We start from the raw sequence: 23,705 nt of genomic DNA, 5'->3' as shown, positions 1-23,705 counted from the left end.
ATCCCAGCTACTCCAGAGGCTGAGGCAGGAGAATCGCTTGAACCCGGGAAGTGAATGTTGCAGTGAGCCAAAGTCGCGCCACTGCACTCCAGCCTGGGGGACAGAGCAAAACTCTGTCTCAAAAAAAAAAAGCGAATTATGGGACTTATAAGAAAATATTAATTTAGCATGCCCCAAGGACCAAAGTGCGCTGGGAATTCAGCCGTAGCTGTCTTTGAGTGTGGTCAGCCGCCTGGGCGCCACAGAGACCCACGAAGAAGTGGGGGGTCCTCCGTGAATGCGAGGTCCAGGCTGTTTTTATCTCTTGAGCCTCAGTTTCCTTTCCTGCACTTGGAGCAGTTAACCCTCAGTGCCTAGCAGCCGGTTATTAACATGTTCACAACACCTTCCACCCAGGGAAGGGGTGGGAAAGTCTGTTGGGCTTTTGAAAGAGAAAAACAACTTCCACAGTCCTTCCGGCCCCACATCCTCTGAACAGGGCTGGGCGCCTCCTCTGGGGCGTAACCAGCTTGGTCACGCCCCCGACAGACCCCGCCCCCAGCCCGCCGCCGAGGCCCCGCCCCCCGGGCCGCCGCGCCTCACGTCCAGCGGGGGCGCTAGAGGGCGGGGGACTGGGCGGGGCGGGCCCGGGAGGCCTGGAGGCGGGGCCGCGGGCCGGGGGCGGACTGGGGCGGGCGGAAGGAGAGCCAGGCCGGAAGGAGGCTGCCGGAGGGCGGGAGGCAGGAGCGGGCCAGGAGCTGCTGGGCTGGAGCGGCGGCGCCGCCATGTCCGACAGCGAGAAGCTCAACCTGGACTCGATCATCGGGCGCCTGCTGGAAGGTTGGTCGGGGCGGGGGAGGCCCGCGTCCGCCGCGCCCTGGCCCCCTGCCCGGCCCGGAAGTGGCGCGCGGGCGGGCCCCCGGGGCCAGCTTAGACTGGGCGGGGACGGGCAGCGAGGTTCCGTGGCCGCAGCTGCCCCCCCGCGGACGCGCCTGAGAGGTCCGGGGCCAGCTCCGACGCGCGGAGCAGCTCCCCCCCTCTCCCGGGCTGGGGGCGCACGGGTTGCCTGGGCTCTTGGGGCGAGGGAGAAACCCGGGAAGCCCGGTCCAGGAAGGGGTCCTGCGCTGTGAGGTTTTTGGTGGCAGCCCCCTGCGCACGACAGTCGCCTCCCGAGGCGCTGAGGGTAGCTGGGGGCTTCCCCTGGGAGGCTTGAGGCCGCGGTCCCGGGAGGCTCAGCAGCAACAGCTGCCTGTGGGCAAGGAGGGGCCGAGGAGGCCTAGGCGCCCCCGGAGGTATCCATGGGGCCACCCGTGTCGCCCACCCTCCTCCTGTCAGGGTCCAGGGTCCTGACACCCCATTGCGCCCCAGTGCAGGGCTCGCGGCCTGGCAAGAATGTACAGCTGACAGAGAACGAGATCCGCGGTCTGTGCCTGAAATCCCGGGAGATTTTTCTGAGCCAGCCCATTCTTCTGGAGCTGGAGGCACCCCTCAAGATCTGCGGTGAGCCCCCGGCCCAGGTCCCCTTGCCTTCCTAAAAGTGGCACTGGACCCCACAGAGTTCCTGGAGCCCTCCTCCCTTGAGCGCAGTCCTGGCCCTGGGTTCAGGTCTAGACCTTGCATCTAGCTTACCCGGTTCCCTGGGTCACAGGTGACATACACGGCCAGTACTACGACCTTCTGCGACTATTTGAGTATGGCGGTTTCCCTCCCGAGAGCAACTACCTCTTTCTGGGGGACTATGTGGACAGGGGCAAGCAGTCCTTGGAGACCATCTGCCTGCTGCTGGCCTATAAGATCAAGTACCCCGAGAACTTCTTCCTGCTCCGTGGGAACCACGAGTGTGCCAGCATCAACCGCATCTATGGTTTCTACGATGAGTGTGAGTGGTCTGAGCGTCTGGGGCTGCCCGGGTCCTGAACCGCACTCTTTGCCATTCAGTGGGACCTTCACATTGGCCTGATATCTGACAGACACTTGATAGACTGTGCGCTCCACGAAGGCGGGGCCCAGGTCCGTTCTCGTGCCTGCCCTGCCCCTCCTGGCATGGGGTCTGGGGAATGGTTGCTGACTGAAGGGCTGCCCGGATTCTAGTGCTTTCCCCCAGGGCCCTGCCTGGTGACACTCCCCCTACATTTGCTACTAAGCACTTAGGATGTTTGCAGATGGGCTCTGCTGTCCAGAAGCTGAGATAAACCAGACCTGGACTTGGCCCGGCTCATGGGTGGGGGCATGCGAGGAGTGCCAACCCTGAGGCTGGTCCAGATTGGAACTTAGTTTCCAGTGGACTCGGGTGCTTTAGAATTACTTCTGGCAGGAGGCCGAGGCGGGAAGATCCCTTGGACCCAGAAGCTCCAAGTTACAGTGAGCTATGATCTTGCCACTGCACTCCAGCCTGGGTGACAGAGCAAGACCCTGTTTCTTTACTTTTTTGAGACGGAGTTTCACTCTTGTTGCCCAGGCTAGAGTGCAATGGTGTGATCTCGGCTCACCACAACCTCCGTCTCCTGGGTTCAAGCGATTCTCCTGCCTCAGCCTCCCAAGTAGCTGGGATTACAGGCATGCGCCACCACGCCTGGCTGATTTTTTTGTATTTTAGTAGAGACGAGGTTTCTCCATGTTGGTCAGGCTGGTCTCGAACTTCTGACCTCAGGTGATCCGCCCGCCTCGGCCTCCCAAAGTGCTGGGATTACAGGTCTTAGCCACTGCGCCTGGCCAGATCCTGTCTTCTTTAATTAAAATAAAAAGTAACTAGAATTGCTCCTGGAAGGCTGACAGGTGGCAGGGGTGGGGGGTGGTTTGCATCGGTGCCTGACTCTCTCCTCCCAGCCACGGCTGAATAGCCCAGGGACCCTGGCTGAGGGTGGGGTAGGCAGGCACCTCACAGCCACCTCCCCCTGGGCAGGCAAGAGACGCTACAACATCAAACTGTGGAAAACCTTCACTGACTGCTTCAACTGCCTGCCCATCGCGGCCATAGTGGACGAAAAGATCTTCTGCTGCCACGGAGGTGAGGGAGGGGATGGCTGGGGAGGAGGAGCACTGGCCGCATCCCTCAGCACCCGGCAGCTCTCCTTAGGTCTCATCTGGGAAGTCACTCCTTCCAGGAAGTGTCCCCCATACCCCACTGTGCTGGGCTGCACTCACTTCCTTGATGTGTGTCCTACATGGAGTGGGCTTGTCTCCTTTCTCCCGGGAGCTCTGTGCTCCTGAGGGCAGGGATGCCTTTGTGCCTGTTTGGGAACTTGAAAAAGCTGAGGGGAAGGGGATGACTTCTGCCTGTCTAGGCGCCCAGGAGACCAGTGGCGGGACCAGGAGGGTGGTGGGAAAGGTGGGGTTCATTGGCCAAGGCTTCCTGGAGGGAGGATGTCCTTGTTTGAGGAAGTGACCTTCCCCCGGCCCCCCAGGCCTGTCCCCGGACCTGCAGTCTATGGAGCAGATTCGGCGGATCATGCGGCCCACAGATGTGCCTGACCAGGGCCTGCTGTGTGACCTGCTGTGGTCTGACCCTGACAAGGACGTGCAGGGCTGGGGCGAGAACGACCGTGGCGTCTCTTTTACCTTTGGAGCCGAGGTGGTGGCCAAGTTCCTCCACAAGCACGACTTGGACCTCATCTGCCGAGCACACCAGGTGGGCTGGTGGCTCCGGCCTGCGGCAGGGGAAGGGGAGGGCCGTGCCTGCGCTCGGGACTGACTGCTCCCATCCTCGCCCAGGTGGTAGAAGACGGCTACGAGTTCTTTGCCAAGCGGCAGCTGGTGACACTTTTCTCAGCTCCCAACTACTGTGGCGAGTTTGACAATGCTGGCGCCATGATGAGTGTGGACGAGACCCTCATGTGCTCTTTCCAGGTGAGTGTGGGGAAGAAAGGAGCCGCTAGGCCCTGTGGCTCAGCCCCATGAGCCTGACCAACACTGTCTCTTTTAGATCCTCAAGCCCGCCGACAAGAACAAGGGGAAGTACGGGCAGTTCAGTGGCCTGAACCCTGGAGGCCGACCCATCACCCCACCCCGCAATTCCGCCAAAGCCAAGAAATAGCCCCCGCACACCACCCTGTGCCCCAGATGATGGATTGATTGTACAGAAATCATGCTGCCATGCTGGGGGGGGGTCACCCCGACCCCTCAGGCCCACCTGTCACGGGGAACATGGAGCCTTGGTGTATTTTTCTTTTCTTTTTTTAATGAATCAATAGCAGCGTCCAGTCCCCCAGGGCTGCTTCCTGCCTGCACCTGCGGTGACTGTGAGCAGGATCCTGGGGCCGAGGCTGCAGCTCAGGGCAACGGCAGGCCAGGTCGTGGGTCTCCAGCCGTGCTTGGCCTCAGGGCTGGCAGCCGGATCCTGGGGCAACCCATCTGGTCTCTTGAATAAAGGTCAAAGCTGGATTCTCGCCATGGCCTCCGTCTCACATCTAAGACACTGCCTGGCAGCTCTTCTGCACAGAGCCGCTTGGGAGTCTCGGCACCGGGCCCCAGCCAGGGCAACCCTAGCCACACACTCGGGTCCAAGGCTCTTAGAATTCCAAGTCAGCGCCAAAGAGTATCAGGAAAGCAAGGAAAACTTGTCAGCTCCACGGGGGTCCCAGATGCATGCCCAGGACTTCAGGAAGGAACAGGTCATGATTGGCAGAGAAGCTGGATCACCAGGGGCCAGCAGCACCTACTATGACATTTTCCTTAGGAAGGTGAGCCTGAGGGAGACAGGTTTCCAGCCTTGGCCAGCTGGAGTATAGCCTGAGGCTCAATGAGAAATAAGAGGTAGGAACGTCAGTAGTTCAGGGCCAAGTCTGGAAAGTCCTGATTGGCTGGGGGTTGTGGGGAGATAACGGCCCAGGCCCGACCGCTGTGGGACAGCTTTACAGTGACAGCCAGCTGGGGCCTGCGAGAGGCAGTGAAACAGCTCAGCTCCAGCAAGCCCACCTTTCTGATCCCCAGGGCTGAGAGACCCAGTTCTGCCACTGGCTGGGGCTTCGTCTAGTCCAAGGCCTCTGGGTACAGGCTTCAGGTTCTTGGTTCAGCCTTCACCCTCACTGTCTTCCGCCAGCACAGGGCTGGGGCCCTGGGGGGAGCGTACAGGGGCCAGGATGGAGCCGAAGAACAGTGAGCGGAACTGGAAAGAGAACAAGTGAGTTCTGGAGGCTGCTCCCTTCCCTACCTCCCACCCCTGCCTCCACCTCCAGTCCCTACCTTCTTGGGTGGGGGAGTCCCAGGCACTGTACTGGGCTCAGCCTCATCTTCCTCCTCGGAGTGGGGACCGGGGCTCTTGGGGGGCTGGGGGCCAGGTGAAAGGGAAATGGAGGGCAGCACCCGCGAGCCCTCATTGCCTATAGTGGTTTCCATGGCGATCATGTAAGAGTCAATGTCGTCATTGGCAAAGTCGTCCGGGTGGGGTGTGCTGTAGGCAGAATCGGAGTATCAGGGAGGGGACTGGGGGAGCAGAGGCAGGGCCCCACCTTGGAGGGCTCGAAGGGAGCTCTGGGGCCCCCGACCACTGGAGATCTCTTGGTTTTATGACTTCCTGATTTGGCTGGAGAGGAGAGGATGCAGGGGTTAAGTGGTGACTTCCTGGAGGGGGTGGGCCAGGAATCTCTTTGATCAGAATTCAGGTAGGGGCCTGAGGGAGGCATCCCGGGGGCTACCTTAGCTCAGCTAGGAGGGAGGAGCAGCAAGTCTTATGAACTGGGCCACATGGAGCCCAAGCCCCCACCTTCCCAGGGGACAGGAGCTGGAAAGCACAGGAGCCCAGGGACAGGCTGGGCTGGGGGCCAGCCCCAACTTCCTGTGCTGAAAGTGCACTGGGCCATCCTCCCCAGCCCACCTGCCCTTCCAGCCACCTGCTTCCCCCAGCCCAGGCAGCTCCTGCCTCCCAGCAGCCCTTTCCCTCCTTGGCCTGGGAGGAGGCTCAGAGGGGCGGCCTCAGCCAGAGAAGGAAGCTGGCAGGGCCTTGGGGATGCTTCCCTGGGTGGGAGGGGTCTCTGAGTACAGCTAACCGAGAAGGCTGAGTCTGCAGGGCTGGCAGCTGTGAGCACTATAGGGTTAGGGGCTGGGGCCTGATAGAAAGAGAAGGGGCGGGAGAGAACACATTGCGGGGAGGTGCAGAAGCTAGGAGTTGCAGTCTCAGGCTGGAGTGCACAGACATGGAGAGAGGAGGAGTTGGGGGGAGGTGCCCTCACCTGTGAGCCTGGAGCTGAGGCACTGGCTGGTGACGCTCTGGGGAGCCCAGGTCCTGGGAGTGCGAGTCGGTGTCTGAGAGTGTGGCCAAGACAAAGTGGCCGTCCAGCAAAGAGTCCTTGATGGTGAAGATGGCGGGCCTGGGCAGGGGAGGGGGCCCAAGCTAGGTCATCCCATTCAGCTCCTGCCATCCCAGAGCCCTTCCCTGTCCCAAGGCTGGGAACTACCTGCCTGGAGCATCAAAATGAATGCTAAGATTCAAGTTTGCTGACTCTGCAAAGCTCAGGAGCCCCTGGGAGGAAAGAGGTAGCAGGTGAGGCCCCGGGCTGGGCTGAGCTGGGCAGGGAGGACAGGACGGCGAGCGCCTGGGAGGAACCTCACCCGGAATTCCTTGAGGCAGAAAGTGATGGCCACCCCTTCCTGGGCCTGCAGCTGCTGGAAATCCTCCTCTCCAAGGCACATCTCAGTCACCATGGCTTTGGCAGTGCTGTCTGTTGGGGAAGAACAGGAGTAACCTGGGCCCCGCCCCTCTCCCACCTGCCACTCTGCTGTCCCAGGCCACGTCCAGCCCCCTCACCTGCCTCCTCCTCGTGGTAGCTGCGCAGGATGACCCTGCGGCCACGGCCAATGCCCAGCGTCACTTCAGCCAGTGCAGGAGAGAAGGGCAGAACAGCCTCCCCCAGAACCCTGTGAACAGGGTGGAGCATTACCCGAAATGCCTGGCCCTGCCCAGGGCTTTGCTCTCGGAGGACCTGAGGTGGGGGTGACACATGCACACGCACGGATGTGCGCAGGCCTAGCGCACCGTGGATGAGGCCCAGAGAAGGTGGCAGGGAGGGGACTGGTTGCAGTGGTTGCTCAAACCTGGCAGGCGGCACCTGACCATGCAGACCAGGGAGAGGGCCCAGAGGCAGGACGTGGCACTCAGGCCACCCTACAAACCCGGCCTTCAGAAAGAGCCCTGAAATCCTTATCCTCTAAGGATACCCATTGACATACAGATGAAATCACATCTGGAAATTGTTTCAAGTCAAGTGGGGACGGGAGCTGCGTCTGCTTTTACATATATTTGAAATTATTCATGAGACAGAGTGCTTGCTTCGGCAGCACATACACTAAAACTGAAGCATGCAAAAGATGAGCAAGGCCCCTGCGCAAGGATTTAAAAAAAAACAGTGGCTCATGCCTGTAATCCCAGCACTTTGGGAGGCCGAAGCAGTGGATCACTTGAGTTCAGGAGTTCGAGACCAGCTTGGCCAACATGGTGAAACCTCGTCTCTACTAAACATATATAAATTAGCCGGGCGTGGTGGTGCATGCCTGTAATCCCAGCTACTCGGGAGGCTGAGGCAGGAGAATCGCTTGAACCCGGGAGGCAGAGATTGCAGTGAGCCAAGATTGCACCACTGCACTCCAGCCTGGGTGACAGAGCGAGACTCTATCTCAAAACAAAACGAGAGAAACAATTGCTCATTTTTAAAAAAAGAGACTGAGTGTGGTGGCTGACGCCTGTAATCCCAGTACTTTGGGAGGCTGAGACGGGCAGATCACCTGAGGTCGGGAGTTCAAGACCAGCCTGACCAACATGGAGAAACCCTGTCTCTACTAAAAATACAAAAAATTAGCCGGGCATGGTGGCGCATGCCTGTAATCCCAGCTACTCGGGAGGCTGAGGCAGGAGAATCACTTTTATCGGGAGGCGGAGGTTGTGGTGAGCCGAGATCGTGCCATTGCCTGGGCAACAAGAGCGAAACTCTGTCTCAAAAAAAAAAAAAAAAGACACCACCCTAAATGCAGACCAAGGAATTGGCCCCCGTCTCTCACTACCCAAAAGAGCTCTGAGCAGTGCTGGCTCAAAAGAACCTGGGGAAACAGATGTCAGGACCCAAAGGGATCTTCAGTCACCCTGAGAAATGAGCAGGACCTTGGGCCACTTGAATGCAAGCAGTGACCAGCATGGAGCAGGGGGAGAGCCCACTCCTCTCTGAGCTGGTCCTCGCCAGGGACGTTTGCTTCAACTGGAGTCCCCATTTCCCTGGCCCCAGACAGCCCCCAGTGCTCGGACTGCCCAGAACAGCTCCACCCCATAGCTGATTATTCAGCCTCCCTCCAGCCTCCTGCCCTGGCCTTGGGGACTCCTCGATCCTGGGCAGTCAGGAAAAGAGGCTGCCGTTGAATGGGGAACACCTCTGGAAGGATGCCCAGGCCGGAGAAGGGGTCTGAGCCTCTGAGCCACAGGTTATGGGCAGACCTTCAAGGTTACTCAAGCCAGACAAGAGATTTGGTGGCAGGCCAGAAATGTGCTCCCTAGAGGAGGAGTTGGAATGGGTTTGAGCAGCCAGAAAGTCAAGTCAGACCTTTGGGATGGAGAATGCAGGCTCCTAACAGTAAGGAGAATGGAGCAAGGAGGCGCCTGCCCCTCCTCCATGCCACCGTCTGCCTTTAAAGAGCCAGGTAAGGACCTGAGCACATAGCGGGCCATGGGATGTCTTTGAGGTTCACAGAAACTCTGTAGGGAAAATGAAAGAGGTACCTTCTAAAATCAACCCCTTGGGGCCCCAAAGAAGGAAGAGAGAGACCCGGGGCTGAGCTGAGGGCAGGGGTGTGCTCACCGTGCTGGGGCGCGGAGCATGTGGGGGCACGAGGCTGGGTCGAAGACGGCCTGCAGGGACTCACAGTCCTGGAAGGACAGGTTGTGAGTCTTCCGCACCCCTGGATGGGCGATAGGGTCTCAGTGGGCCTCGCCGACCTCCCTGCTGAGGCACCCCTTGGCTGGCCGGCTGCCCACTCACCGAACTTGCAATGCAGCTGGACCACCAGGCGGCTGCTCCGGCCATTCAGGGAGATGCAGCATTTTTCCACCGTCTTCTCCAGCATCGCCAGTGAGCGGAAGACAGACAGGAAAGACTGCATGGGATAAGACACCTCAGCCTAGCATCACATCTCTGCAACAAGCTCTCCTGTCCCATGCAGGCCCACACCCATCATGGGCCCAGCATGTAACTCTGGGAAAAGGGCTCCCACGTCACCTCGGGCACTGGCATCCTTCTAGGCCTCATTCATGCTCTTCCTTATGCTTGGAATGCCTTGAAAGACCTGCTTACCTTTTTTTTTTTTTTTTTTGAGATGGAGTCTCGCTCTGTCACCCAGGCTGGAGTGCAGTGGTGCGATCTCAGCTCACTGCAACCTCCACCTCCCGGATTCAAGCAATTCTCCTGCCTCAGCCTCCCGAGTAGCTGGGATTACAGGCGCGTGCCACCACGCCCAGCTAATTTTTGTATTTTTAGTAGAGACGGGGTTTCGCCATGTTGGCCAGGCTGGTCTCGAACTCCTGACCTCGTGATCCGCCTGCCTCGGCCTCCCAAAGTGCTGGGATTACAGGCGTGAGCCACCGCGCCCGGCCAAAAGACGTGCTTACCTTTCTTGACGAACTTGAGCGTCACCACCCTCTCAGGTCCCCGCTGTGATGCTTTTACCATGGCCCTCCCTGTGTTTTGCATGGATTGGGCTTGCACGTGTCTCTCTCCCCACTTAGCATCTACTGAGTACCCCAGGGCAGAGGCACAGCTGGTGGAGATTCCTGGGGTGGAGTAGTGCCACTGCTGAGGGAAGGGCCTCACCTTCATCAGGATCTTACAGCGCAGCAGGTCCTGACCAGGGGTGGCTGCCTGGTATTGCTGGAAGAAGAGCGGGGCAAAGAGAAAGCAGGCATAGGCAGAGCGGGAGGAGTTCACCGTCCGGAGGGAGAGCTGGGCCACGAAGAGCAGGGAGAGGGACGTGGTCAGGGGGCAGCCACAGACCCAGCCCTCTGGCTGCTTCTGCTCACACACTTGCCCTATCGTCCTCCCGCTCCGCCACCACCTGCTGAAAAACCCTCCTTTCCCCATGGAAGCCTTCAGAGTCGGCCCCGGCGCTGCTGCCGCAGAGGAGGGGTCGCACACCCAGGCCTTCCCCGAGTTTCTCTAAGTGCACGTCACCCCCTGGGAGCTCGCAGGACAGCTTTCCTCAATTCACACACCGGCCTGGGAAGATGACAGCCGCCAGACTAAGAAACTGAAACTTTGCCGACAAATCTGCCAGCGGTCATCCCGCCTAGTGGGGGCGAGACTCTAGTCCGGGTTACCCGCTCCCGGCTGGAGTCCCACCCGCCCCCCACACCCTAGCCCCTCACCCCGTCCTCCAAGGGTTCCAGGTAGAGCTCGTCCCCGATGCGGGACAGGGAGTGGACGGCCTTGCCGAGCACTGCGGGGAGAAGAGCGGAAGGGGGTTAGGCTGGCGGCTCCGCGGCTGCTGCACCGCCGCTGCCAGGCCGACCTGCACTCACCCTTCACGTTGCCGCCCGTGACCAGGCACTTCATGCTGCCCCAGCGCTCCGCCAGCGGCCAACACTGCCCAGCTCTCCGCGACCTCCGGGTCCGGGGTCCCTTCCCGCGCACCGCCCCTGCCGGCCCCGCCCCCGCCTCCCCATTGGTCCACGTGCAGGCGCCTCCGTCACGTGAGAAAAACGCTCACAGGCTCTGCCGTCACGTGACGGCGCACGTTGTCCGGGGTGTCACGTGACCGGGGAGGCCCGCGGCGCCCGCCAGCCAGCTGCTCCTGGCTCCCCCGGCACGCCTCGGCCTTCCGTGCCCCTGGAGATCGGGGCGTTCCGCGGGCCGCGCACCGGATTGCGAAGGTCAGAGAGGACGCAGCTGTGGGGCGCGAGGTCCCTGTGCAGTGGACCGAGTGCTGGACTCGGAGTCGGAGTGTGGGGGCGAGCTCTCTGGGGTCACCCACTTAGTAGAGTTCCCGGGCGTCTGCCGGGGGATACAGGGTGCAAGCAAGACCATCGCACCCACTCTGGGCCTGAGACTCGGACTCCAGCAGCAATCCCCAACTCTAGAAAGAAGTCAAAGCAGCTTGCTTGCAGCAGCCGGGAGTGGGAGGTGGCTGCTCCTTCCGGCTTCGAGGATCCTTTAAGGAAAAACGGCAGTTTCTCCAGGCAGAAAGGGGTAGAACGGTGCCCCTGGCAGAGGGAAGAACAAGAGTAAATGCTCAGCGGTGTGGGCTCCGCCCCCTGGAGAGGGGAGTAGGTCTGTGAGTCTCAGAGAGGCGTAGGGGCCGCCAGATGATGAGGGGCACCGCTGGGACGCTCTGGAAACGTTTTACGAGGGTAGATCGTGGTTATGTGCCTTTTTTTGTTTGTTTGTTTTTTGAGACATATTCTTGCTCTGTCACCCAGGCTGGAGTGCAGTGGCGCGAACACGGCTCACTGCCGCCTGGAACTCCTGGGCTCAAGGGATCCTCCCATCTCAGTCTCCTGAGTATCTGGGACCACAGGCACACCCACCACGCCCGGCCCTTTTTTTTTTTTTTTTTTTTTGGGTAGAGACGGAGTCTTGCCATGTTGCCCAGGCCGGTCTCAACTGTGGGGTTCAAGCTGTCTTTCCGCCTTGGCCTCTCAAAGTGGAGTGAGCTACTGCACCGGCCTGTTTTTTGTTTTTTGTGTGTGTGTGTGGGGTTTTTTTGTTTGTTTGTTTTGAGATAGAGCCTCGCTCTGTCGCCCAGGCTGGAGTACAGTGGCACGATCACGCCTCCCAGGTTCAAGCGATTCTCCTGCTTCAGCCTCCCAAGTAGCTGGGATTACAGGCGCCTGCCACAACGCCTGGCTAATTTTTGTACTTTTAGTAGAGACGGGTTTCACCATGTTGGCCAGGCTGGTCTCGAACTCCTGACCTCAAGTGATCCGCCCGCCTCGGTCTCCCAAAGTGCTGGGATTACAGGCATGGGCCACCGCGCCCAGCCCCGGGTCTGTATTTTTAAAAGACCCCAGACTGGCCGGGTACGGTGGCTTACGCCTGTAATCCTACCACTTTGGGAGGCCGAGGCGGGCGGATCACGAGGTCAAGAGATCCAGACCATTCTGGCCAACATGGTGAAACCCCGTCTCTACTAAAAGTACAAAAAGTAGCCGGGCATGTTGTCACGCGCCTGTAGTCCCAGCTACTCTGGAGGCTGAGGCAGGAGAATTGCTTGAACCCGGAGGCGGAGGTTGCAGTGAGCCGAGATCGCGCCACTGCACTCTAGCCTGGCAACAGAGTGAGACTCCATCTCAAAAAAAAAAACCAGACTGTGTGCCAGGTGGGGATGCATCAGCTGGAAGGTATTCCCCTTCCCCTGGGCTTCCGGGTCCACGTGTGTAAAATGTAAGGGAGTCCTGGAGAAACTCACTGACCCCTACTCTCCCCACAGTACCAAGGCTCTGGTAGTTCTTGGAAGGGCCCAGGGCATCCCTGTATTCCTGCAGGGCCTGCCCGTGCCTTGCCCCTCAGGTCCTGTGGTAGTGCAGAAGATATATTTATCTCTGCCACCCTTGCTCTCCAGACCCACTTTCAAATGAGTTGAATTGATACATAATAATTGTACACATTTGGATACATGCATACACTTTGTTTCTCCCTCTCCTTCCCTTCTGCTCCCCTCGTCACCAGCCCTTGCCCCTTCCGTGGAGCCTTGGGGGAGGAGGTTACTCTTCCCTTCCCCTTCCCGGGGGATCCATGGAAATAGTGCCCCTGTCCCTGGGCATCCGGCTCAGTATGCTGGAGTCATCCTTGACCTCATGCTCGCCCTCACCCCTACACAGTCTTTCAGTTAAGTCCTGACCACTCTGCTTCCCAAACAGGTGGCAACTTAACAGGTGGCAACTTTGCCCTCCTCTTCCATCTCCAAGGCCTAGGCCACCATCCTCTCACCTGGATGACTGTAACAGCTCTCAGTGGTCTCCTGCCTCCACCCTGCCCCCTCCAGGCCACTCTCCATACAGCAGCAAAGTGACCCTCCTAAAATGTCCATTGTGTCATGCCTCTCCCGTGTTTGCACACTCCAGTGGTTGCCATAAAATCCAAACTCTGCCCTGAACCTGCAGGAGCCGCCGCCACCCATTTCTCCACCTGTGGCCTCCCCTTGATCACCTGCACAGCCATGCCAACCCTGTGGGCTCCCTGAACCCTCCACTTCCTTTTCCACCTGGGGATTTTAGCACATCCTTAGCTGTCCCCACCACTTGGCATCGTCTTACCCCTTCTAACGTGGCGGTGCTTCTCTTCCTCCAGGCTCAGTGCCGTCTTTTCTGCCCCCACCAGCATCCCATTACACTCTAGCTAGACCCTGTTTTAGCCACAGCACTTATCACGTTATTTCATGCGTGTGTTTGCCTGTTTAACATCTGTCTTCCTCACTAGTGTGTCTGCCTCACAAGGGCAGGAACCATGTCTGGTTTTTGGTTTTTTGTTTTTTCTGAAGACAGAGTCTTGCTCTGTCGCCCAGGCTGGAGGGCAGTGGCGCGATCTCGGCTCACTGTAACCTCCGCCTCTGGGGTTCAAGCAATTCTTGTGCCTCAGCCTCCCAAGTACCTGGGAATACAGGTGTGTGCCACCACGCCCGGCTAATTCTTGTATTTTTATTAGAGATGGGGTTTTGCCATGTTGGCCAGGCTGGTCTCAAACTCCTGACCTCAACTGATCTGCCCGTCTCAGCCTTCCAAAGTGCTGGGATTACAGGCGTGAGCCACTGCACCCGGCCTTGGCTTTGTTTTGTTTGTTCTGTTTTGTTTTGTTTGTTAAGATGGGTTCTTGCTTTGTCACCCAGGCTGGAGTGTAGTGGCACGATCATAGATCACTGCAGCCTCAACTTCCCAGGCTCAAGCGATCCTTCCACCTCAACCTCCCGAGTAACTAGGGCTACTGGCGCATGCCACTACAGCCAGCTAATTTTTTAAATGTTTGTTAGAGACAAGGTCTCCTTCTGTTGCCCAGGCTGGAGTTGAACTCCTGGGCTCAGGCGATCCTCCTGCCTTAGCCTCCCAAAGTGCTAGGATTACAGGCGTGAGCCACCACACCCAGCATCCATGTCTGTTTTGTTTGTTGCTGTATGTACCTCACACAGGGTCTGGCACTCAGTAAATAATGAATAAATAGGTGTTACATTTAAAAATGTGTAAACCAGCCGGGCGCGGCGGCTCATGCTTAATCCCAGCACTGTGGGAGACCAAGGCTGGTGGATCACTTGAGCCCAGGAGGTGGAGATTGCAGTGAGCTGAGATAGCGCCACTGCACTGCAGCCTGGGTAAGAGAGCCAGACCCTTTCTCAAAAAAAAAAAAAAAAAAAAAAAGTAGGCCGAGCGCTATGGCTCACGCCTGTAATCCCAGCACTTTGGGAGGCCGGGGCAAGTGGATCACCTGAGGCCAGGAGTTTAAGACCAGCCTGGCCGACATGGTGAAACCCCATCTCTACTAATAATACAAAAATTAGCCAGGCATGGTGGCACGTGCCTGTAATCCCAGCTACTCAGGAGGCTGAGGCAGGAGAATCGCTAGAACCTGGGAGGTGGAGGTTGCAGTGAGCCAAGATCGCGCCACTGCACTCCAGCCTGGGCAACAGAGTGAGATTCTGTCTCAAAAAATGAATGAATGAATAAATATCTGTAAACCATTCCTGTTGACAAAGGGCATGGAAAAATAAGCAAACAAACAAATAAATAAATCAGCGTGAGCCAAATGCAGCTGAGATGTCTCTAAGTCACTCTTAGCACAGTGCTGAGAGAAACATCCAACTTCCAGCCCTCCACCCACAGTCCCATCTGTCCCTGCTTGACAGTTGTCCCCATGCTCTCAGCCTCATCCTGCGCTCTGGACCCCTCCCCCACCACGTGTAAACCAGGACAGCCTTCCCACCTCTGCCTCATACTCATTACCTGAGCAGCCGCCTGGAATAAGGGTAGATGCCGAAGCTCCGTGAAGGCAAGGGAGGTGGAGGCTGTGAATCTTCACACAGTCCTGTTTCTGCCCCTGACACCTAATGGGGTTATGGGGTTCTATGACCTTGAGGACCCTAGGCAGAAGAGAAGGGACACATAAGCTTTTTTTCATATGTTTCATATCTGTCTTCTCCACTAGTGTGTCTACCTCACAAGGCCAGGAACCATGTCTGCCTTTTATATCAGCCAGGGGCAGGTGTGAGCCACTGCCCCCAGCTGACATACACTCTTTCGACTCGTATTGAGTAGTTTTCAGTCACCCTCCCACCCCCTTGCCAAAAGTCAGAACTCGTTGGAACTTTCTGAAGGGCTTAGAACAGCAAGAAGCCTAGAGCGGGAAGTCGGGAGCTGTGGTAGGATACGTCCCTGCCCCCGTGTGATTTGTGCAAATCCCTCCCTGTCTCGGCTGCTTCCTCATCTGTATGATGTGATGGTGGGGGCTGGGGAGAGTAGGAGGTACTCACTGAGGTCCCTTCCAACCTTGACATGCTGTGATCCTGAAGGGGCCCCGAGGCTCCCCTATGCCCCTCATCCACCCCAGCTTGGGGGAGAAGCTGTCCTGCCTCCCCCGACCCTCTGGCCCCTGGGCTGTGGGGCTGGAAGGTAGCTTTCCAATCTGAGCCAAGGATCCCTTCCAGGCCTGCATTTGGCATATCCAGTAACCCACTTCAGGTGCAGAAAGGGGGGCACACAGGGGGATACCAGGAGCTGGGAGCTACCAGGAACCCTGTGTGTGGGTGAGAGATAGGTACGGGAACCCCAAGAGGACCTGGGGTCTGTGCTGAAAGTCAAGGACCTGGATGCAGCTTCAGCCCTACTCAGATGGCATCAGGCCCTTGTCTGAGCCTCAGTTTTTTCCTGAATAAAATGAGGGCCATTCAATGAGATGCTCTTTCAGATTCAATGAGATGCTCTTTCAGGAGCTTTTTTTTTTTTTTTTTTTTTTTTGGAGACAGGGCCTTATTCTGTCACCTGGGCTGGAGTGCAGTGGCATGATCCTGGCTCACTGCAGCCTCAGCCTCCTGGGCTCAATGATCCTCCTACCTCAGCTTCCCGAGTAGCTGGGACTACAGGTGCATGCCACCACGCCCAGCTAATTTTTTAGCCAGGATTCTTTCAAACACCAAATTTTTAGCTGGGCATGATGGCTCATACCTGTAATCTCAGCATTTTGGGAGGCTGAGGAGGGAGGATTGCTTGAACCCAGGAGTTAGAGATGAGCCTGGGCAACATAGTGAGACCCTGTCTCTATAATGAAGAAAATAAAAAACAATTTTAAAACACCAAATTTTTGGTCTTTGGCATACCCCCATTAGCAGTGGCCTCGTATAAGCAGGTGGGCATGTAAGTATGTGTGAATGTGTTGGGGGGCAGATATGGAATGGAAGCTTGAGACCCTAATGCTCACTCATTCATTCAACATATATTCATTCAACATATCCTGGATGCACTTTTTTAACTATGGGAAAGACAGCACAGGACAAAAATCCTGGCCGGATGCGGTGGCTCACACCTGTAATCCCAGCACTTTTGGGAGGCCAGTGTGGGCAGATTGCTTGAGTCCAGGAGTTCAAGACCAGCCTAGGCAACATGGTTTCTACCAAAAATACAAAAATTAGCTAGGCATGGTGGCACATGCCTGTAGTCCCAGCTATTCAGGAGGCTGAGATGAGAGGATCCCTTGAACCTGGGAGGCAGAGGCTGCAGTGAGCTGCGATCGTACCACTGCACTCCAGCCTGGGCGACAGAGTGAAACCCTATAGTATGCAAGAACATGGTGGGTGTTATGAAAAAAAAGAAAACCCAGAGAGGGAGAGAGGAGTGTCAGGGGAGAAGGGCTTCGATTCTAACTAGCACAGCCAGGTTGGCCTCACTGAGAAGTCGCCATTTGAGCAAAGACTTGCAGGAGGCAAGGGAGTGGACAGCGCAGATGTCCGGGAAGGAGTGCTGTGGTAGAGGGAATGGCCAGTGCCAAGTCTCTGAGCAGAAGTGTGGGTGGTTGGTACCTTCTGCAGAGTCCGGTCTCCTGAGCTGGGGAGGGCGGGGGTCTAGTGGGGGAAGACTGAGATTAGCCAAAGAATCATCAAGGTAAATATGAAATTACACCTTTGAGAAGGATCAGGAATGATGATGACGTGGGCTCTGCGAATATGTCCTGGGGAAGACCTGGTCAGGAGCATGAGGGAGAGCTTCCTGGAGGATGAAACAGTCTGAGAGGGGTGAGGTTAGAGCACGGGCTGGCCAGGAAAGCACAGTTGCTGAGAAGCCATTGGTGGGGCTCATTTGCCAGGCACTGCTCTGTCCCACCATGGGATTCCCCATGCAGCCCTCCTTACAGACAAAGGAGCACAGACAGTATTACTCATGGCTGGCATTTTTCCAGATCAGGGTAACTAAAAGTCAGAAGGGGCAGAGGAGTAGAGGAGTTTAGGGTTCAGGAGTTTACTCTGGCTTGTTTTCTTCTCATCATGCACACACAGGGACTGGCATTTGTATGGTTACTGTGGGGTAACCAGGCAGGCAAGGCAGCTCTGAGCTGGCAGGGTACCTGCCCTGCTTGTAATGAGTTTGTGGCATTCCAAGTGCTGCCAGCCCCCCAGCCAAGCTCTGCCCCTGCCTTTCTTGTTCCCTGGCATTTCTCCCAGAAATCAGAATGATGTTTGGCACACAGCAGTGGTGTAATAAGTCTGTGCTGAATGACTGAAGAGTACGGAATTCAGAGAGGTTTCGGGACTTGAACCCACGATTGTCTGTTGAGGTTGAGAATGCAGTTGTGGATGCCAGCCCGTGTAGGTCTGAATCCAGCCTAGCCGCAGTCTCCATCACTTAACAAGTTGTGCAAAAATGGACAAGTTGCTTATGTTCTCCAAGCCTGTTTCCACCTCAAAGGGCTGTTGTGAGGAGTAACTTAATATTTACGCAGCTCTTAGAATCTGCTGTTAGCACTGCTGCGACTATGATTGCTGCGTCCTGCCCCTCCAGCTCGAGTCATCCTTACAGTATCCTTGGGCCGGGACTGGAGACAAAACAAACCATCAGCTTGGACAAAGCTAGGGTGAATCTACACAAGGATCCCAGGAGGAAAGTCTCGCAAGGAAACATTACAGAGAAAAGGCCTGCTGTCCAGAAACTGGCAAATATTCAGAAGACTCTTGGCCAGGCACGGTGGCTCACACCTGTAATCCCAACACTTTGAGAGGCCAAGGTAGGCAGATTGCTTGAGGTCAGGAGTTGAAGACCAGCCTGGCCAACATGGTGAAACCCCTTCTCTACTAAAAAAAAATACAAAAATTAGCCGGGCGTGGTGGCACACACCTGTAATTCCAGCTACTCAGGAGGCTGAGGCAGGAGAATCACTTTTTTTTTTTTTTTTGAGACAGAGTCTCGCTCTGTCACCCAGGCTGGAGGGCAGTGGCGCGATCTCGGCTCACTGTCAGCTCCACCTCCCGGGTTCACGCCATTCTCCTGCCTCAGCCTCCCAAGTAGCTGTGACTACAGGCGCCCACCACCACGCCCGGCAAACTTTTTGTATTTTTAGTAGAGATGGGGTTTCACTGTGTTAGCCAGGATGGTCTCGATCTCCTGACCTCATGATCCACCCGCCTCAGCCTCCCAAGGTGCTGGGATTACAGGCGTGAGCCACTGCGCCCAGCCAGGAGAATCACTTTAACCTGGAAGATGGAGGCTGCCGTGAGCAGAGATCCCTCCACTGCACTCCAGCCTGGGCAACAGGACAAGATTCCATCTCAAAAAAAAAAAGAAGACTCTTGGTTAAGGTCAGAAGAGTCAGCCCATGGGGAAGAGGCTCTGGAGAGAGGCTGCTGCTACTGCTGCCTCCAGCGGCACCACGTGCTGGCCCCATGATTCTGGGCCCTCTGTGTCCTCTGCCTTGAGAGGAGAATGTGAGCCCTTGCCTTCCTCCCAAGCTGCTGGAGCCTGGCATGAGATAATGGATGTGCCCACACTGCCAGGCACTGTGCGCAGATGAGGGACCAGGTCTTTTGAGTCTGCAGGGCTGGAGGTGGAGGGGAGATGGGATGAAATTTTTTTTTTTCAGACAGAGTCTCGCTCTGTCGCCCAGGCTGGAGTGCAGTGGCGCGATCTCGGCTCACTGTCAGCTCCGCCTCCCAGGTTCATGCCATTCTCCTGCCTGAGCCTCCCGAGTAGCTGGGACTACAGGCGCCCGCCACCATGCCCGGCTAATTTTTTGTATTTTTAGTAGAGACGGGGGTTTCATCGTGTTAGCCAGGATGGTCTCGATCTCCTGACCTCGTGATCCGCCCACCTCGGCCTCCCAAAGTGCTGGGATTACAGGCGTGAGCCACCGCGCCCGGCCAGGATGAATTTTTTTAAACCCACAGTGAGGATGGGAAGGGAGAAGTTCAGGCTTGTTCACCAAAACCTGGCACACTGGAATTACAGGCCCCCTTGGAGCGCAAGTGAGGTAAGTTTAGGACAAATAAAAGGCAGTGTGCTTCACCCAGCAGGGGAGGACGCTGATGGAACTCATTATCCCAAGATGTCGTCTCAGCTGGAAATAGAAACAGCTTCACAAAAGATTTAGATACATCCATGGATGATGGCTCCATTCATGGGTTAGAAGGGGAAGGAGGCTGTTTGAGGCCCGTCCCCCAGGGCAGGCATCAGGGAGGTGGCCCGGTCTCCCTAAGACCCCCCTTTGCACTCCTGTTAGAGGCAGGCTTCTGGCAACATGGACCCCAAGAGGCAACGTGGAGTCCCGTAAGTTAGAGCCTGACCTGTGTCCCTGGCCTTTTCCTCAACCTCCCCAATACTCAGCATCCACTGTTGGGGAGAGATAAGGTGCCACCAGCTTCAGGGAAAGCATCCCGGCTGGGCTGTCCCCTAAGAGACCAGCAGAGGGAGACAGACACCGTGTCCAGTCCCAGCTTCGGGAACAGAGACCTTGCTGATCCGCCTTGGGCAGGCCTCTGTGGGGGCAGTTTTGTGCTCATGTTGTGCGGGGTGGGACAGAAGGGGACAGAGAGGGCATCCTCCCAGGCTGAGACAGGCTTATTACTGGGGAGATGGGGGCAGGGAGGAGATTTTTAGGAACTAGGGGCAGGGTGAGGAGGAGGCTACTAATTAAGAGCCGGGTGGCTCCAGAGCCAGGCTGCCTGCCTGTGTAACTTGGAAAAGTTATATAACTCTGTGCCTCAGTTTACCCATGGTAAAATGGCAACTACAACAGCACCGGCCTCAGGAGGGCTATGTGAGATTGCGTGCTGTATTCAAATGCTTCACTGCAGTGCCAGAGAATTGGGAAGAGCTCAGTAAATGGGAGCGATAGCCTACACCGTGGGGAGATCAGAGGACTCTCCCGTCTCCTTAGAGCTCCGGAGCTTGCAAAGCCCTTTTACTTTATTATCTCATCTGGGCCTCACCGAACCCTGGAGGTTTGGTGAGGCTAAGAGGCTCACTTTTTTTTTTTTTTTTTTTTTTTTTGGAGATGGGGTCTCACTCTGTCACCCAGGCTGGAGTGCAGTGGCTCAATAGCTCACTACAGCCTTGAACTCCTGGGCTCAAGCAATCCTGTCACCTCAGCCTCCCAAGTAGGTAGGACTACAGGTGTGTGCCACCATGCCTGGCTAATTTTTTGGGGAAGTAGGGGGGGATCTTGCTATGTTGCCCAGGCAGGTCACTTATAAGTGGTAGATCTGGGCTTTCTGATGCTAAAGAATCCAGGGATCTTTCTCAAGTTCCCTGCTGAGCTGGAGGCTGGAGGAGGCCTGCTCCAGGTGCCCTTGTCTGCACTGAGCCTCCTGGCAGGCCGCCCATATCTCTAGTTGGTATTGAAGTTATCTTGCCCACTGTCCCACCAGCTCCCGAGTCCCTGGCAGGCAGGCTGTGTTTCTCTGTAGGTCCACACTGTTCAGCAAGGCATATATAGCAGGGGCTTCCAAAAGCTTTTGGGAGGTGACGGGATTCCATGGGTCTGAATGCCAGCTCCTCCCCAGCTCCTGTCCTGGTTCCAGGTCAGGTGTGGCCCCCCACTTTTTGCCACTCAAATTCTCCCTGCCGTATCTCCAAAATCTCCCGACGTCTCCCTCTTCTGACCTCTCCTTTCTCTGCATCATAGCCCTTTGTATATCTCCTTAAGTTCCTGTTTCATTTTGAAATCTTGCAACAGTCAAAGGCTAAAACGGAAATATGTACAGAGTGCTCTGTTAAGGACCACAAGGTGGGCCTCAGAAAGATGGCTGTGGGTGCTAGAAAGCGGGTGAGCCTCAAATTAGCTGGGCATGATGGTGGGTGCCTGCCTCCCAGCTACTCGGGAGACTGAGGCGGGAGAATAGCTTGAACCCGGGAGGGGGAGGTTGCATTGAGCCGAGATCACGCCACTGGACTCCAGCCTGGGTGACAGAGAGAGACTCTGTCTCAAATAAAAAAAAAAAAGAAAGTGGTTGAGCTCTTCATAGACCTAAACCACCCATGTCTTCTAGACAACCTGAAAGCCTAGGACGGGGCTGGGTCAAGACTGGTTGGTTTCTCTCATGCCTTCAGAGCTGACTGTGCCATGAGACTCCACCCTTCCCACCTCCAGCCCTCTTCAACCCACTGAAGTCCTACAAGAATCTCTTGGGGACAAAAGAGGAGAGAGATGAGACGGGTCCTTAGAGAGCACTTATAACACAAAGTGGAGAGCAGCAAGGGCCCTGGAGAGTGAAGTCTGTGGTGGGGAGCAGAGCTGGGATGACAGTGACAGGCTTCAGGAAGAAGGCAGAAGAACAAAGGGTCTAGATGAGTAGCCATGGGGAGCTCACGAGGGGCAGCTGCATTGTGGGTAGAGAGGACACCATTAGCAAAGACAGAGGGATACGGTATGAGGGGTAGGTAACAAGATTCTTTAACATTATTGGCTGGGCGAGGTGGCTCACGCCTGTAATCCCAGCACTTTGGGAGGCTGAAGCAGGCAGATTGTTTGATATCAGGAGTTTGAGACCAGCTTGAGCTACATGGCAAAACCCTGTTTCTACAAAGAAATACAAAAAAATTGGCCGGGAGTGGTGGCTCATGCCTGTAATCGCAGCACTTTGGGAGGCCAAGGCGGGCAGATCACCTGAGGTCAGAAGTTCGAGACCAGCCTGGCCAGCATGATGAAACCCTGTCTCTATTAAAAATACAAAAATTAGCAGGCGCCTGTAATCCCAGCTATTCAGGAAGGTGAGGCAGGAGAATCGCTTGAACCTGGGAGTTGGAGGTTGCAGTGAGCCGAGATCGCACCATTGCACTCCAGCCTGGGCAACAGAGCAAGACTCTGTCTCAAAAAAAAAAAAAAGAAAAAAGAAATACAAAAAATTAGACAGGCATGGTGATATCCATCTGTAGCTACTCAGGAGGCTGAGGTGGGAGGATCTCTTGAGCCTGGGAAGTCGAGGCTGCAGTGAGCCATGATTATGCCACTGCACTCCAGCCTGGACTCTGTCTCAAAAATAAATAAATAAATAAATAAAACATCATTGATTGCTTCTAAGTGCCAGCAATTTGACCTATACTCACTCAGTTGTCCCTCATTCAGTTTTACATGGAGAAAACAGAGGTGTGGAGGGTTAGAGACTTGGTGGGGGTCACACAGCTGGTGGAGGCGGAGCAGGCACTCTCCCAGTGGTGCTGGAATGGCAGGCCCGTGAGATGGGACATCCCATCACTGGGATGGCCCCAGGGAAGGCGGTGTCCATCCTTTGACCCCAGGGGCCCCTAGAGCGGGAGCCCAGACAGTCTGGAGAAAGCTGGGAGAAGCCTGACAGAGGGGAGGACAGCGGGGTAGGAGGGGAGGAGAGCTCGGGAGGAGCCGGCATGACTCAGCAGGGCAGGATAAAGATCTTCCAGCCCAGGGAGAGGCAACCCCACTTCTCTGCCAGGGGAGACGGAGTCACAGAGCCCGCGGCATGGGCTGGCCAGGGCAATGGAACATCCTGGGAGAACGGCGGGGAAAGCTCCTGGTGGGCGAGGGAGGAGTGGGGCACCTGGGGGCATCCCTTCTGCCCTGCCCTCCACACACCCGTCACTCAGACACCCTGGCAGATGAGGAGGCCGCGCCCAGCTAGGGCAGGAGAGGGACAGGCAGAAGGCCCCGTTCCTCTCAGCTTCTCTCTGGCTTCCCCGGGAAGCAGGGGGTGTTGGGGGGAGTCCTTTGGGAAGCCTGAGCTGGGTCAGGTGTGGGTGGGGACCCAGGGCAGGGTAGGGCCATTGCTGAGGTCAGAAGAGGCCCTCTGCCTCTGGGTTTCCGCTGACATCACAGCCAGCTTAGGGTGAGGCAGGGCCCTCTAGACTCCTGTCTACTGGAGGGCAAGGGAAAGTGTGTGCATACACACATAGACACACACACACACACACACACACACACCCTGCCTTTCCTTCCCTCTCCTGCCCTCGGGGGCCCCAGTGGTGCCTGCACACGCACACTGGAGGGTGTGCACACGAGGCAGTGGAAAGGAGGGCCTCCTCCTGGGGATGCCGAATCCCAGGGAATGTCCTGGGTGGGACCTCTGAACCTACCTAGGGCTCACTTTGCCCTCAGGAAGCAAAGGGAAGCCCTTGCTCTTGTTCTGCTGGCGGGGGTGGTGGTCATCTGACTCCCAGTTTAATGCTCATTCCAGGATTCCCAACTCCCTGCTAATGGAATCCAGAGCTCTAGCTGAGCCCTCCAGTGTGGGAAGACGATGTGAGGCACCTGGCCCATCTGCACATTGCCAGTTCACGTAAGGGGTCGGTGGTGGGCAGGAAACCCAGGTCTCCCTGTGCTCCA

General features: G+C 56.7%; 2 protein-coding genes, 1 long non-coding RNA gene and 1 pseudogene across 11 annotated transcripts in view, besides 9 other annotated features; 2 read left to right on the top strand and 2 right to left on the bottom strand.

Annotated features, from left to right (window-relative positions):
* Positions 428-1,207: a silencer, noted in NCBI's record as "silent region_3630". NCBI's record gives its function as "represses an Ori minimal core promoter by ATAC-STARR-seq in GM12878 lymphoblastoid cells {active_cell/tissue: GM12878}" and the evidence as "EXISTENCE:reporter gene assay evidence [ECO:0000049][PMID:35858748]".
* On the top strand, positions 689-4,364 carry PPP1CA (protein phosphatase 1 catalytic subunit alpha). 3 transcript variants are annotated; one of them, NM_002708.4, is made up of 7 exons: positions 689-819; positions 1,348-1,479; positions 1,628-1,858; positions 2,882-2,986; positions 3,384-3,607; positions 3,691-3,825; positions 3,902-4,364. In NM_002708.4, the coding sequence occupies exons 1-7, from the start codon at positions 765-767 to the stop codon at positions 4,010-4,012; spliced, it is 993 nt and encodes a 330-aa protein (NP_002699.1). In that variant the 5' UTR covers positions 689-764; the 3' UTR covers positions 4,013-4,364. The 3 variants fall into 3 exon arrangements, with proteins under 3 accessions (NP_002699.1, NP_001008709.1, NP_996756.1); NM_001008709.2 differs by having other exon boundaries at positions 1,315-1,479; NM_206873.2 differs by lacking the exon at positions 1,348-1,479.
* Positions 3,878-4,458: an enhancer, noted in NCBI's record as "H3K27ac-H3K4me1 hESC enhancer chr11:67165560-67166140 (GRCh37/hg19 assembly coordinates)". NCBI's record gives its function as "activates a minimal SCP1, AML or CMV promoter by ChIP-STARR-seq in primed H9 embryonic stem cells {active_cell/tissue: H9 hESC(primed)}" and the evidence as "EXISTENCE:reporter gene assay evidence [ECO:0000049][PMID:30033119]".
* RAD9A (RAD9 checkpoint clamp component A) lies at positions 4,135-10,561 on the bottom strand. 7 transcript variants are annotated; one of them, NM_004584.3, is made up of 11 exons: positions 10,469-10,561; positions 10,316-10,386; positions 9,765-9,893; positions 8,937-9,051; positions 8,757-8,856; positions 6,722-6,831; positions 6,526-6,635; positions 6,372-6,436; positions 6,147-6,284; positions 5,161-5,368; positions 4,137-5,083 (listed from the first exon to the last, which is right to left on the bottom strand). In NM_004584.3, the coding sequence occupies exons 1-11, from the start codon at positions 10,500-10,502 to the stop codon at positions 4,988-4,990; spliced, it is 1,176 nt and encodes a 391-aa protein (NP_004575.1). In that variant the 5' UTR covers positions 10,503-10,561; the 3' UTR covers positions 4,137-4,987. The 7 variants fall into 7 exon arrangements, with proteins under 7 accessions (XP_047283339.1, XP_047283338.1, XP_006718715.1 ...); XM_047427383.1 differs by lacking the exon at positions 10,316-10,386 and having other exon boundaries at positions 4,135-5,083; positions 8,757-8,824; XM_047427382.1 differs by lacking the exon at positions 10,316-10,386 and having other exon boundaries at positions 4,135-5,083; positions 8,937-9,893.
* Positions 4,459-5,040: an enhancer, noted in NCBI's record as "H3K27ac-H3K4me1 hESC enhancer chr11:67164978-67165559 (GRCh37/hg19 assembly coordinates)". NCBI's record gives its function as "activates a minimal SCP1, AML or CMV promoter by ChIP-STARR-seq in primed H9 embryonic stem cells {active_cell/tissue: H9 hESC(primed)}" and the evidence as "EXISTENCE:reporter gene assay evidence [ECO:0000049][PMID:30033119]".
* RNU6-1238P (RNA, U6 small nuclear 1238, pseudogene) lies at positions 7,236-7,337 on the top strand (annotated as a pseudogene).
* Positions 9,940-10,444: an enhancer, noted in NCBI's record as "H3K4me1 hESC enhancer chr11:67159574-67160078 (GRCh37/hg19 assembly coordinates)". NCBI's record gives its function as "activates a minimal SCP1, AML or CMV promoter by ChIP-STARR-seq in primed H9 embryonic stem cells {active_cell/tissue: H9 hESC(primed)}" and the evidence as "EXISTENCE:reporter gene assay evidence [ECO:0000049][PMID:30033119]".
* Positions 9,940-11,394: a biological region, named in NCBI's record as "hESC enhancers GRCh37_chr11:67158624-67159539 and GRCh37_chr11:67159574-67160078".
* Positions 10,345-10,714: a silencer, noted in NCBI's record as "silent region_3629". NCBI's record gives its function as "represses an Ori minimal core promoter by ATAC-STARR-seq in GM12878 lymphoblastoid cells {active_cell/tissue: GM12878}" and the evidence as "EXISTENCE:reporter gene assay evidence [ECO:0000049][PMID:35858748]".
* Positions 10,479-11,394: an enhancer, noted in NCBI's record as "H3K27ac-H3K4me1 hESC enhancer chr11:67158624-67159539 (GRCh37/hg19 assembly coordinates)". NCBI's record gives its function as "activates a minimal SCP1, AML or CMV promoter by ChIP-STARR-seq in primed H9 embryonic stem cells {active_cell/tissue: H9 hESC(primed)}" and the evidence as "EXISTENCE:reporter gene assay evidence [ECO:0000049][PMID:30033119]".
* Positions 10,860-23,705, bottom strand: part of LOC100130987 (uncharacterized) — a 73,849-nt gene continuing 61,003 nt past the window's right edge. The window contains exons 3-4 of the long non-coding RNA NR_024469.1: positions 14,876-15,012; positions 10,860-11,149 (exon numbers count right to left, since the gene is read on the bottom strand). This is a non-coding gene — a long non-coding RNA (uncharacterized LOC100130987). The remainder of the gene's footprint in view (positions 11,150-14,875; positions 15,013-23,705) is intronic.
* Positions 21,558-21,607: an enhancer, noted in NCBI's record as "active region_5090". NCBI's record gives its function as "activates an Ori minimal core promoter by ATAC-STARR-seq in GM12878 lymphoblastoid cells {active_cell/tissue: GM12878}" and the evidence as "EXISTENCE:reporter gene assay evidence [ECO:0000049][PMID:35858748]".
* Positions 22,452-23,173: an enhancer, noted in NCBI's record as "H3K27ac-H3K4me1 hESC enhancer chr11:67146845-67147566 (GRCh37/hg19 assembly coordinates)". NCBI's record gives its function as "activates a minimal SCP1, AML or CMV promoter by ChIP-STARR-seq in naive H9 embryonic stem cells {active_cell/tissue: H9 hESC(naive)}" and the evidence as "EXISTENCE:reporter gene assay evidence [ECO:0000049][PMID:30033119]".

Source organism: Homo sapiens, chromosome 11 (genome assembly GCF_000001405.40).
Source record: "Homo sapiens chromosome 11, GRCh38.p14 Primary Assembly".
Classification (NCBI taxonomy): Eukaryota; Metazoa; Chordata; class Mammalia; order Primates; family Hominidae; genus Homo; species Homo sapiens.
Note: the sequence above shows the minus strand (reverse complement) of the source record. Positions and strands in the feature narration are given on the sequence as shown.